This window comes from Homo sapiens, chromosome 7, assembly GCF_000001405.40.
Source record: "Homo sapiens chromosome 7, GRCh38.p14 Primary Assembly".
NCBI lineage: Eukaryota > Metazoa > Chordata > Mammalia > Primates > Hominidae > Homo > Homo sapiens.
The window spans coordinates 97,876,767-97,890,517 of record NC_000007.14 but is presented as its reverse complement, the minus strand read 5'-3'; the positions used below and the strand labels follow the sequence as shown (position 1 = coordinate 97,890,517).

At 44.8% G+C, this 13,751-nt stretch overlaps 1 protein-coding gene, 1 long non-coding RNA gene and 1 pseudogene across 2 annotated transcripts in view; 2 read left to right on the top strand and 1 right to left on the bottom strand.

Moving 5' to 3' along the window:
- ASNS (asparagine synthetase (glutamine-hydrolyzing)) overlaps window positions 1-13,751 on the top strand; it is a 76,765-nt gene that overhangs the window by 37,924 nt on the left and 25,090 nt on the right. The gene's annotated exons all lie outside the window — the stretch shown is intronic.
- CZ1P-ASNS (CZ1P-ASNS readthrough) overlaps window positions 1-13,751 on the top strand; it is a 120,242-nt gene that overhangs the window by 81,841 nt on the left and 24,650 nt on the right. The window lies entirely within an intron of this gene.
- Window positions 3,867-4,650, bottom strand: SNRPCP9 (small nuclear ribonucleoprotein polypeptide C pseudogene 9; annotated as a pseudogene).

Genomic DNA, 13,751 nt, shown 5'->3' with positions numbered 1-13,751 from the left:
TCCCCTTTTCTCCTAGCCTGTAAGGTTTCTGCTGAGAAATCCCCTGTTAGCCTGATGGAGATTCTCTTATAAGTGACTTGATGCCTTTCTCTTGCTGTTTTTAGCATTTTCTCTTTGTCTTTTGACAATTTTACAATAATGTGCCTTGGAGAAGACCTTTTTGAGTTGTATTTATTTGGTAATCTTTGAGCTTCCTGCATTTGGAAGCATTCAGGAAGTTTTCAGTTATTATTTTATTAAATAGGTTTTCTATGCCTTTACCCATCTCATCTCCATCCAGAACTCCCAGAATTTCAGTTTTTGGTGACATATGTGTCCCATATGTCATGTAGCCTTGCTTCATTCTTTTTTCTTTCTTTTTGTCTGACTGGATTATTTTAAAAGACTAGTCTTCAGGTTCAGAAATTCTTTGTTTTGCTTGATCTAGTCTATTGTTAAAGCTGTCAATTATCTTTTGTATTTATTTCAATGATTTATTCTCTTCCAGGATTTGTGTTTGGTTCTTTGTTATGCTGTCTATCTCTGTTGAATTTGTCGTTCAGATACTGAATTGTTTTCCTGTTTGGTTTTTTTTTTTTTTTTTTTTTTTTGTATTCATTATCTGTGTTCTCTTGTATCTCCCTGAGTTTCTTTAATAACATTATTCTGAATTTTTTTCAGGCATTTCATAGATTTTCTTTTCATTGGATCTGTTGCTGGAGAATTATTGTGCTTCTTTGGAGATGTTATGTTTCCTTTTTCATATTTCTTGCATCCTTATGTGACTATCTGTGCCTCTGACATAACAGTCATTTCTTCCAATTTTATGGATTGGCTTTTATATGGGAAAGACCTTTTCTTATAGCTGTATCTACAGTGTTCATTGGATATCACACTTTGGCTTTGATTCTGGGTGGGTACAGTGGTATAGTCTGCATATGATTCCTTCAGCTGTAATTGGCATGAGTGGTGCCTGTGAGTCATTCAGTGGCTTAGACTGCAGTGTTTTTTTTTGTGGTTGTTGAGATGGAGTCTAGCTCTGTCACCAGGCTGGAGTGCAGTGGCACAATCTCAGCTCACCGCAACCTCTGCCTCCCGGGTTCAAGCAATTCTCCTGCCTCAGCCTCCTGAGTAGCTGGGACTATAGGCACGTACAACCATGCGCAGCTAATTTTTGTATTTTTAGTAGAGATGGGGTTTCACTATGTTGGCCAGGCTGCTCTCGAACTCCTGACCTCGTGATCTACCCGCCTCGGCCTCTCAAAGTGCTGGGATTACAGGCGTGAGCCACCACACTTGGCCAGACTGTAGTTGTTATTGGAGGCTGTGGTGAGGCTTTGCTGAGGATGGGGATGCCAGGAAGTCTTGTCCTTCAGCATCAGTGGTAGCGGTGGTGGACCAGGTGTGTCAATACTAGGGACTGTGGGCAGTGTTTGTGGGCACTGATGATAGCCTGTCTGCGTGGGCCAATCCCTGGGCCTCCAGGTGGCTCCTTTGGTTGCTGGCAGTGGCAGCACTGGGCCAAGTGGGCAGGTGCACCACTGGGCTCCTGGGTGGTGTGCGTGGCAGGCTGATCTCTAGTTCTCCAGGTGACATATGCAGGTTCTGGTGGTGGGTAGGCAGGCATTTCCTCAGGCCTCTCAGTAGTAAGTGTGAGCACTAGCTCTGGAGGCAGATGAGTCAATCTCCAGGCCCCCAGATGGTACATTCAGGCACCAGCATATTCCTATGCATTTCTAGATAAAAGTATTTTTCAGAAAACCTGAGTGTATGTCCTATTAATACAACTAACCCTCATCAGCTCTGCATGAGAAGAAGGGGGAATTCCCTCAGTAGAACAGTCAGAATGGAATCACAGACTTGTTTTTAGCCAGTCACTGGTAAGGGGGGTTAGGCTAAAATGATAAGCTCAGAATCTAAACCTTAGACTAGGGAATGGCAAACTTTTTCCATAAAGATGCAAACGGTAATATTTTAGGCTTTTGGTCTAGATAACCTCTGTCGTAGTGACACAGTGGTGCCATCGTAGCCTAAAAGCTTATGTAGACAATGGATAAATCAATGGACCTGGTTTTATTCCAGTAAAACTTAATTTATACAGTCAGAGGGCCAGATTTGGCCCTTGGTCTATAGTTGGCCAACCCTGTTTAGAGCAGTCAAAATTTATTCCCTGGGGCTGGGCCAACTTTTTCTTAAAAAAAAAAAAAAAAAAGAAAGCAACCCACTGTCAGAATAAAATAAGGTTTCTATTTAAAAAGAATAAGAGGCTGGGTGTGGTGGCTCATGCCTATAATCCTAGCACTTTGGAAGGGTGAGGCAGGAGGACTGCTTGAGGCCAGGAGTTTGAAACCAACTTGGGCAATATAGTGAGACCCTCTCTCTGCAAAGAATAAAAAAATTAGCCAGGCATGGTGGCACATGTCTGTAGTCTTAGCTACATAGGAGGCTGAAGGGTAAGATCACTTGAGCCCAGGATTTTGAGGTTACAGTGAGCTCTGACTGTACCATTTGTACTCTAGCCTAGGCAAAGAGGGAGAACCCAAAAACAAACAAACAAACAAAAGGTTGGTTGGGGCGGGTTGGAGAAGAAAGTATTTCTGAATTTCTGGATAGGTTACTGGTAGTGTCAGGCCAAACAAGCTCTACAGTCATATTCATTATAAATAAAGGCAACTAGAAGATCTCCATCTAGCTATTAAAAATTGGTTAAAATCTACAGAGATAAAGGATGGTGACCCTTGTATCAGTTAGTTGTTGTCACAAAATGCTGCATAACAAGTCACTCCAAATCTCAGTGGCTTAATACAACAATCGTTTATTTTCATGGATCTATGGGTCAGCTGAGGATTGGTCAATCTAGCATGAGCATGTCTGGGAAGCTCGACTTTGCTCTTGGTGTCTCTTATCTTCTGCTGGAAGCAGCAGTCTGGCCTGGGCTTGTTCTCATGGTGATAGCAGGAGTGAGCGAGCACAATTGAATGCACACTTTCCAAGTTTTTGGTCATACAGATTAATATTCCAGTGGCCAAAGCTAGACACAATTCAAAACTCAACATTAGGGACTGGAGAAATATACTCCGATTCTTCAGTGGGAGGAACTGCAGAGACAAATGACAGAGTCTTGGATACAGGGAGGACATGCATCCATTAATGTACCTTAATCAATCGCAACCCTCTAACCACCAATACAATTAAGTAAGTATTGGTTGAATGCACTTGTGCCTGAATGCTTCTGGCTGCAGCCCAGGCAATGGGGGCCTGACTGGGGAGGGACCATAGCAGGGACTCGATGTCCTGCAGGTCTGCATGTAATTGTGCACGGCCGACTCCACATTGGTCATGGATGACTTGCTTTATCCTGCGTCCCCAAGGGGCAACGATTGGCTGATTATATTTCTGAACAATTTTGACAAAGTTGTTTTCAGGAGCCCAGGAAGCAAATCAGTTGTAGATTTGAATTTTGCAGGGGGTCAGAATTGTTGAATATATATATAGACTTTTACATGCTGATAATTATTTCCACATCACAAAGATGGCCGGCTATTAGGAGGCTGCTGTTCAATTCCTTTGCCCTGTGAACTCATGAGCTGTGTCTATGTGGGGGGCACTCAGTTGTTAGAGCTGTTTTCCTTCATAATAACATCAGCCAACGTTCTAAATAAATTCAGGAAATTAAATAGTCTTCCCCAGACAGGTACTTTGCCCTTCTAAAGTGAATTACACATTCTAAAATAAAACACAGTCACATTAAAAAACCAAAAGGTCTTTGTGTCAGGTTGGTCTGGCTTCAGCAAAGATAATATTAGCCTCCAGAGTAGAAGATCCGTGGAATCCACAGTATTGCATTTGGCAGCCCCACGTCTTGTTTTCTTTTCTTTTTTTTTTGTTTTTAACTAAAGGAGTTGGCAATTTTATTTTCACATTTCCCTATACAAATGAAAACTGCATCTTTTTTGGCCCCACTTCTCCCCTCCAAAACTATTCTCTTTGATAGGGCAAGGGGGCAAGTCTTCCTTATGCTGTTAAGAAAACCCGATATCACAGCAGCATGATCTCCTGGTGAAGGGAGCAGGTAAATATAAAATTCATATAGGCCAGGCGCAGTGGCTCACACCTGTAATCCCAGCACTTTCGGAGGCTGAGGCGAGCGGGTCACGAGGTCAGGAGATTGAGACCGTCCTGGCCAACATGGTGAAACCCCGTTTCTACTAAAATAAAAAAAAATTAGCCGGGCATGGTGCACACGCCTGTAGTCCCACACTACTCAGGAGGCTGAGGCAGGGGAATCGCTTGAACCCGGGAGGTGGAGGTTTCAGTGAGCTGAGATCATGCCACTGCCCTCCAGCCTGGGCGACAGAGGAAGACGCTGTCTCAAAAACAAAACAAAACATTACAAACAAAAAAAACACAACAGTAACAACAACAAAACAACACTGATGCAATGAGGCCTCCCCTCTATCCTTATCTGTCTGGTTGAGTCATTCTGGGCTGACTGGGCACCATCATGAGACGGGCAGGAGGTCTCATCATTGGGCACCCAGGCATCATGGGCATGTGGCCTCCCATGGGCGGCCTCATTCCAGGAGCAGGTCCCACTGGCATCATCCCAGGAGGAGGAGAGCCCATCATTGGCATCATGGGCGGGCCCCCCATATGGGCTGCTGCCATCATTCTGAAATGTGCGAGAAGTGTCAAATACACATTAGATTGTGAAGACTTAATATAAAAAGAAAGCAAAGTATTTTGTTATTGTTAAAATATTTTATACATGTTGACCTGGTATTTTGGATAGATTTGTTTAAATCTGTGATATTATTCCAATTACGTTCACTTCTTTTGTTTTACTTTTTAAAATGTGGTTACTACAAAATGCAAAAGTAAATATGTGGCTTGCATCATATTTCATCACATTTAGTGTGGACCCTGAGGATCTAGGGGAGTTATGAGCCTTAAGTTGAGGGTGACCCAGGTCAATGTGAATTGCTCTGAAAGAGAAGCAAAGGGCTTAAAGAGAATGTATAAATGGAGAGAGGGAGCTCAGTCTCACAGGGTGAGGAAAGGCTTTCTTTCTTACACAGTCTGGCACTTCTTCCAAAGATTAAACACAGAGTTCTATGACCCACCACTTCCACTCCAGTTTATGAAAGAAATGAAAATATATGTCCGTCCAGAAACTTGTACACAAATGCTCATAGCAGCATTATTCATAATAGCGCCAAAGTGAAAACAACACAAATGCTTGTCTACTGATGAGTGGAGAAATAGAACATGGTTTGACTATGCAATGGAATATTATTCAGTCATCAAAAGGAATGAAGTACTAACACGTGCTACAACACGGATGAACTATGAGAATATTAAGCTAAGTGGAAGAAACCAGTCACAAAAGGTCACATATTCTAAGATGTCATTTATATGAAATGTCCAGAACACGCAAATCTATGAAGACAGAAACCCTGTCTCTACTAAAAATACAAAATTAGATGGGCGTGGTGACACATCCCTGTAATCCCAGCTACTCGGGAGGCAGGAGAATTGCTTGAACCCGGGAGGCGGAGGTTGCAGTGAGCCGAGATTGTGCCACTGCACTCCAGCCTGTGACAGAGACTCTATCTCAAAAAAAGTAGATTGTCAGGGCTTAGTGGGAGGAGGAAATGGCAGGAAACTGCTCATGGATACAGCGTTTCTTTTTGGGGTGATGAAAATGTTTTAAAATTGATCATGATGGTGGTTGCCGAGCTCTGTGAATGCACTGAAACCATTGATTTGTTCACTTTAAATGGGCAAATCATACGGTACCTGAATTATATTTTAATAGTTATATTAAAAAAGTAAAATCTTCCTTGAAGAGATGACCTAAGGAGAGGCCTAGGGGGTGGGATGAGTTCACTATGTAGAGAAATGAGGAACAGCATTTCAGGGTGAGAAACAGCGTAGTGAAGTCCCTGAGGTTGATAGGCATAGAGCAGATTTAAGGGACTTTTTTTTGGAGACGGACTTTCACTCTTGACGCCCAGGCTTGGGTGGAGTGGTGCGACCTTGGCTCACGGCAACCTCTGCCTCCCGAGTTCAAGCGATTTTCCTGCCTCAGTCTCCCGAGTAGCTGGGATTACAGGTGCCATCCACCACACCTGGCTAATTTTGGGATATTTAGTAGAGATGGGGTTCCACCATGTTGACCAGGCTGATCTCGAACTCGTGATCTCAGGTGATCCAGCCGCCTCAGCTTCCCAAAGTGCTGAGATTACAGGCGTGAGCCACTGCGCTCAGCCAGATTTAAGGGACTTTCAAGAAGTTTGTGTGGCTGAAGGCTTCAGGGCAAGCGAGAGAATCAGGAAATGAGGCTGGAGAAAGAGAGGGGCTAGGTCATGGAGGGTCTCACATTAGTGTGTGGAAACTTCACACGAGTGGTCCCACCTTGGGCATTCCACCTAACTACTCTGTGTCCCAGCTTCCCCACTGGTGAAATAAAGGGCTGATGTAGGGATGGAATGAGATAGTGTGTGCTCAGTAAAGGTGACCTTTTATAATTTTTTTTTTTTTTTTTTTTTGAGATGGAGTCTCACTCTGTCGCCCAGGCCGGAGTGCAGTGGCGCGATCTCGGCTCACTGCAAGCTCCACCTCCCGCGTTCACGCCATTCTCCTGCCTCAGTCTCCCAAGTAGCTGCGACTACAGGCGCCCGCCACCACGCCCGGCTAATTTTTTTGTATTTTTAGTAGAGACGGGGTTTCAACGTGTTAGGGAGAATGGTCTGGATCTCCTAACGTCATGATCCGACCGCCTCGGCCTCCCAAAGTGCTGGGATTACAGGCGTGAGCCACCGCGCCCGGCCGAGCTTTTATCATTGTTAACCGACACAGCAGAGGGAGCCATTGAAAGCGAGTGATCGGTTTGGATGCACCTTCTGAAGTGATCGCTTTGGTCCCTGTGAAGAGTGCAGATTGTCACAGGGCCAGGGGAAGACAGAGGCCAGTGAGGAGGCATTTGCAGTCAAACAGCTGGAGGTGATGGTGGCTTGGTTTATAGTGGTGTCAGGAGAGTGGCTGAGCAGTGAACGGATCTGAAAAGATTTAGGAGGTAAAACCCACGTGACTTGGTCACTGAATGTGGGTTGGGTGGGCTGGAGGGAAGGTAAGAAAGAATGAGAAGAAAAACATACCCAAGTGGGCCCTCCAGCCTAAGGTTACTTGAGGTCCCTTTGTGAAGAGGAATGTTTGTGTTTATGATGAAGATGTCTAGACTTTCAAAGGCCATTTGCAGTATTTTTTTTAACAGCCAACAACTCCTCCTTCCCTATGCCCTAGACATATGAATTTTTTTTTTGCCCTAATTTATCACAGAGGAATGAATGTTTATTTGCTTTAATGAGAAATGCAGAATGCCAATAAGAAAGCATATTAAATTAATCTGGATTGCTGTGAGGGAGTTAAATCTGTTTAGATGTGCACCAGTGTTACTATAATAGTTTGGCCTAAACCCATTTCTGGCCTGCGGCTGCAGGAGGTTGACTCCCAGCTTGCTTCCATTTGAAAGATCCCAGCAAAAAGCACACTTGGCATTTCCAGCCAAACCCACTTTGTGCAGCGAAGGAAAAGTTGAGGAGTGCCTCTGTTGTTTTCCCCCAAATCATTTGGCAGAAATGTGGCTGGGAGCTTCATTGCTGATTTTTTCAGTTTTAATATTGCTGTGGAAAGCCTGTACCAACACTCAGCCATGTTTTTCATCCACAGCTCCAGTCTGGGCTGTGATTTGTTTTTCCTTTGAGTGACACAACCTTATTTTCCATTACGACTCAATGCAAATAGACACTCATGCACCACCACCATCACTCCCCCTGCTTGGCGGAGGGAAGTCAATGGAGTGATTCTAGTTTGGTGTTCATATCGGTGGTATTTATTTATTTATTTATTTAATCTCTCTCTGTAAGTCAATGGAGTGATTCTAGTTTGGTGTTCATATCGGTGGTATTTATTTATTTATTTATTTATTTATTTATTTAATCTCTCTCTGTCTCCAGGCTGGAGTGCAGTGATGCGATCTCGGCTCACTGCAACCTCTGACTCCCTGGTTCAAGCGATTCTCCTGCCTCAGCCTCCCGAGTAGCTGGGCTTACAGGCATGTGCCACCATGCCCGGCTAATTTTTTGTATTTTTAGTAGACACGGGGTTTCACCATGTTGGCCAGCATGGTCTTGATCTCCTGACCTCGTGATCCGTCAGCCTCGGCTTCCGAAAGTGCTAGGATTACAGGCGTGAGCCACTGCGCCTGGCCTGGAGTTGTTTTTAAAAGCACATTTCTCTCAAATTAACTCCGGGGTGTCCCACTGTGACTTGGGAAAAGGTTGGATTTTCTGGAGGGGGAAAGTCAAACTTCAAATAGAATTTGGAGGCTGCCACTGTGGCTCATGCCTGTAATCCCAGTACTTTGGGAGGCTGAGGTGGGTGGATCATTTAAGGCCAGAAGTTCGAGACCAACCTGGGCAACAGGACGAGACCTCGTTTCTACTAAAAATATAAAAATTAGCCAGGCGTGGTGGTACATGCCTGTAATCCCAGCTACTTAAGAGGCTGAGGCAGGTGTTATCGGTTGAACCTGGGAGGCAGAGGTGTCCTGTGTCCAAACCCCATGAGGCGTATCAGCTGGCTGAAGATAAAATCGGTCACGCTGTGTTGGGATTGGGGTTGCTGTTATCATCCCTCATCCCCACCCCTGCTAGGCATCCACAAACAGTCATCTTCAATGAGACGTCCCTCCTGCCCCTGGCTGCCTTATTTCATCTGCACCCAATCGTATCCATTGCTTGTCAGTGGGTCTCAACCTTGGCTGCACCTTGGAATCTCCTGGGGAGATGAGACGATACCAAGGCTCTCTCTCACTTAGCGTGATGTTGCCAAGGTCCATCCACATGTAGTAGGCACCAATATTTCCATTGTATGGATACAGCACATTTTGTTTGTTCATTCATCAACCAAATGGCCATCTTGGTTGTTGCTACCTTTTGGTTATTATATATATTACATGATTCCATTTATGTGAAAGGCCCAGAATAGGCAAATCTATAGAGGCAGAAAGCAGGTAAGTGGTTGCCAGGAGCTGGGGGAAAGGGGAGGGGATGGAGAGTGCTTGATGGATACAGGGTTATTTTTTGGGGGGGCGGGGGGTGTTAATGAAAATGTTTTGGAACTAGACAGAGATGATGATTGCTTAACATTGTGAATGTATTTAATGATACTGAAGTGTATGGTTTCATACAGGGACTTGTATGTTATGTGAATTTTGCCTCATTAAAAAAATACTGCTAGGAGCAATGGCTCATGCCTGTAATCCCAGCACTGTGTGAGGCCAAGGTGGGCAGATCACCTGAGGCTGGGAGTTCGAGACCTGCCTGGGCAGCATGGTGAAACCCTATCTCTATTAAAAATACAAAAAGTTAGCCAGGCGTGGCGGTGCACACCTGTAACCCCAGCTACTTGGGAGGCTGAGGTAGGAAAATGGGTTGAACCCGGGAGACAGAGGTAGCAGTGAGCTGAGATCGCACCACTGCACTTCAGCCTGGGTGACAGAACAAGATTCCATCTCAAAACAAAACAAAACAAAACAAAAACACACACACACACACACAAAAACCAAAAATACTGATGCCCATGTTTCATCCCCAAGGGATTCTGTAATAATTGATCTGGGCTGCAGAGCCCGGGCACTGGGGTTTTAAAATCTCCCCAGGTGATTCTGATGTGCAGCTGTGTTTGAGAATCTCCTTCTGGAATGAACTTGTTCATGTTTTACTTCTGTTGTTTTCTAGCCTGCCAATGTCTTTCTGTTTCCCTTCACATCTTTGGGGGGTAATTTTTACAATGCAGTCTTAACAACCAGCTGCCTCAAAATGCACTGGGATCCCTCGTAACCAGGTAGCTCCCCATCTCCAATTCTGACCTGCCAAGTCAGAATCTTGTGCGTGGGGCCCAGGACTGTACATATTGAAACAGGCAGTGACCTGGGAACTATTTCTGAACACCCCTAGGTTTCCCCTGTGTTCGCCCTTTCCTTTCACATTTGGACCCCTTTGTGTGCTGACCACTGGGCTGTTTCACATGGATGTAACATAAAAAAGACAGGCCAGGTGCATTGGCTTATGCCTGTAATCCCAGCACTTTGGGAAGCCGAGGTAGGCGAATCACTTGAGGCCAGGAATTCAAGATCTGCCTGGCGAACATGAGTAAACCCCGTCTCTACCAAAAATATGAAATTAGCTAGGTGTGGTGATGCACACCTTTGATCTCAGCTACTCAGGAGGCTGAGGCTGGAGAATCCCTTGAGCCCAGGAGGCAGAGACTGCAGTGAGCCGAGATCACACCACTACACTCCAGCCTGGGTGACAGTGAGACTCTTAAAAAAAAAAAAAAAGACAGAGATGATCCTTCCTTTATGGAGCTCTCAGTAAAACAAGAAAGCTCACGATGTCCTGGCATTTGTCAGAAATACATTTGGTATATGTAGCTGGGGTCACATGCTTGACATGCCTATTGAAAGCTTCTGGGTAGGAAGAGAACAATCATCACAGCATCACAGCCTGGCATAACTGTCTCCCAGGACAGGTCTCCCTGGGGAGACTGAGACCACAACTCTGAAATCAGAGCTTAAATCCAGGTTCTACATTTCGCTCAGTAATGTACATGATGTAGGACAGTTTTTATATTAGTTATCTATTGCTGTGCAACAATATTACTGCAAACTTTGTGGCTTGAGACAGCACACAGTTATCACTACGTGGTTTCTGTGGGTCAGGAATCCAGCGTGACTCAGCTGGGTTCAGTGCAAGGCTGCAACCATAATGTCAGCCAGGGCTCAGTTCTCATCTGGAGGCTTGACTGGTGATCTGCTTCCCTTCTCATCTGGTTGTTGGCAGCATTCAGTTCCTTGCAGGCTGCTGGTCTCAGGGCCCCAGGTTCCTGCTGTCCTCAGCTTCCTGCCACATGGGCCTCTCCATCTGGCCACTCATGACATGGCAGCTCACATCTTCAAAGCCAGCAAGATAGCCTCCTAGCAAGACAACTTAACATCCTATCTAACATAATCACTACATCCCATCACCTCTGCCATATTCTCTTGGTTATAAGAAAGTCATAGGTCCCTTTGTCAGACGAGTAGATAGCAAAAATTTTCTCCCATTCTGTAGGTTACCTGTTCACTCTGATGGTAGTTTCTTTTGCTGTGCAGAAGCTCTTGAGTTTAATTAGATCCCATTTGTCAATTTTGGCTTTTGTTGCCATTGCTTTTGGTGTTTTAGACATGAAGTCCTTGCCCATGCCTATGTCCTGAATGGTATTGCCTAGGTTTTCTTCTAGGGTTTTTATGGTTTTAGGTCTAACATTTAAGTCTTTAATCCATCTTGAATTGATTTTTGTATAAGGTGTAAGGAAGGGATCCAGTTTCAGCTTTCTACATATGGCTAGCCAGTTTTCCCAGCACCATTTATTAAATAGGGAACCCTTTCCCCACTGCTTGTTTTTGTCAGGTTTGTCAAAGATCAGATAGTTGTAGATAATGTAGCATTATTTCTGAGGGCTCTGTTCTGTTCCATTGGTCTATATCTCTGTTTTGGTACCAGTACTATGCTGTTTTGGTTACTGTAGCCTTGTAGTATAGTTTGAAGTCAGGTAGCGTGATGCCTCCAGCTTTGTTCTTTTGGCTTAGGATTGACTTGGCAATGTGGGCTCTTTTTTGGTTCCATATGAACTTTAAAGTAGTTTTTTTCCAATTCCGTGAAGAAAGTGATTGGTAGCTTGATGGGGATGGCATTGAATCTATAAATTACCTTGGGCAGTATGGCCATTTTCACAATATTGATTCTTCCTACCCATGAGCATGGAATGTTCTTCCATTTGTTTGTATCCTCTTTTATTTCGTTGAGCAGTGGTTTGTAGTTTTCCTTGAAGAAGTCCTTTACATCCCTTGTAAGTTGGATTCCTAGGTATTTTATTCTCTTTGAAGCAATTGTGAATGGGAGTTCACTCATGATTTGGCTCTCTGTTTGTTATTGGTGTATACGAATGCTTGTGATGTTTGCGCATTGATTTTTATCCTGAGACTTTGCTGAATTTTGCTATTTTTAGTAGAGATGGGGTTTGCTGAATGCAGCCCCAGTCACGTACTCCCTTCTTGGTCAATCGATCACGACTCTCTCATGATCACGACCCTCTCATGTGGACCCCCTTAGAGTTGTGAGCCCTTAAAAGGGACAGGAATTGCTCACTTGGGGAGCTGGGTTGTTAGAGACGTGTGCCACCACTCCCAGCTAATTTTTGTATTTTTAGTAAAGACGGGGTTTCCCCATGTTGGTTGGCCAGGATAGTCTCGATCTCTTGACCTCGTGATCTGCCCACCTTGGCCTCCCAAAGTGTTGGGATTACAGGTGTGAGCCACTCCACCCAGCCCAGAGAAGGCTTTTCATACTTGCTTGGCAGCCTCCTGCATCCTACGCCATCACCTGGCGCTCACAACCTGTGGGCTGCTCTCATCCGTGATCATCTCTCCCCAGGCCTGCTGTTCCTTGAGAAAGGAAGTTGTAATGGGCAGAATTCTAGGACAGCCCCCAAGAGAACCCCTCCCTTATATCTGCTCCCTGTATCATCTCTTCTTGAGTGTGTGCAGAGCTTGTGATTTGGCCAAGGGGAAGGAATTTTGCAAATGTGATTATGGTCACACTTGCTTTGTTAAGCACATTTGCTCAGCTGACTTTGAGTTCATCCAAAGCAGGATGATCTTAGGTGGGCCAGACCTAATCAGGTGAGTCTTTTAAAGGTGAAGTTTCAGAGATTCAACCCTTAGCCTCCAAGGAGACACAAATGGCCATGCTGTGAACTGTCTTTGGAGGTGGCAGCTCTAGGAGCTGAGGGCCTTCGTTCAACAATTGCAAGAAATTGAATTCAGTCCACAAACTGAATAAGCTTGGAAGAGGACACTGAGCATCTGATGAGACCCCAGCTGACACTCTGGTTGCAGTATTGTGACCCTAAATAGAAGACCCAGTTAAACCCTGCCCAGACCCTTGGCTCATGGAAACAGATAATAACTGGATGGTGTTTTAAGCTGCTCAGTTTGCACTGGTAAATCCACCAACAGGAAAGTAATATAGAAGTTAAATGGGCCAGGCATGGTGGCTCATGCCTGTAATCCCAACACTTTGGGAGGCTAAGGTGGGTGGATCACAATATCAGGAGATCGAGACCATCCTGGCCAACATGGTAAAACCCCGTCTCTACTAAAAATACAAAAATTAGCCAGGCGTGGTGGCACGCACCTGTAGTCCCAGCTACTCAGGAGGCTGAGGCAGGGGAATCACTTGAACCCAGGAGGTGGAGGTTGCAGTGACCCGGGACCATGCCACTGCACTCCAACCTGGGCAACAGAGAGAGACTCCATCTCAAAAAAAAAAAAAAAAAGAAGTTAAATGAATACTTTTGACCATTGATGGAAGTTGCTTTCATTCCCTCTTACTTAATCATCTTTATCTTAGCCCTGAAAGAGGGATGCTTTAACCCCATTTGTAACAAGTGAGTCTGAGGCTCAGGAAAGTGATAGAATTTAGCAAAGTCCACCTTGCTACCTGGTGGCCCCAGCTAGAACTCAGCCCCAGGTCCATATACCTAAAGTCATTACAGCGTCCACTAAAATTTTGCCCCTCTCTCGATGCCTTCCTCTTTAGAAGCCTGTTCCTTCAGGGATAGATCCCAACTCAGTGTTACAAGGTACTGAACTCTGATTTTCACAA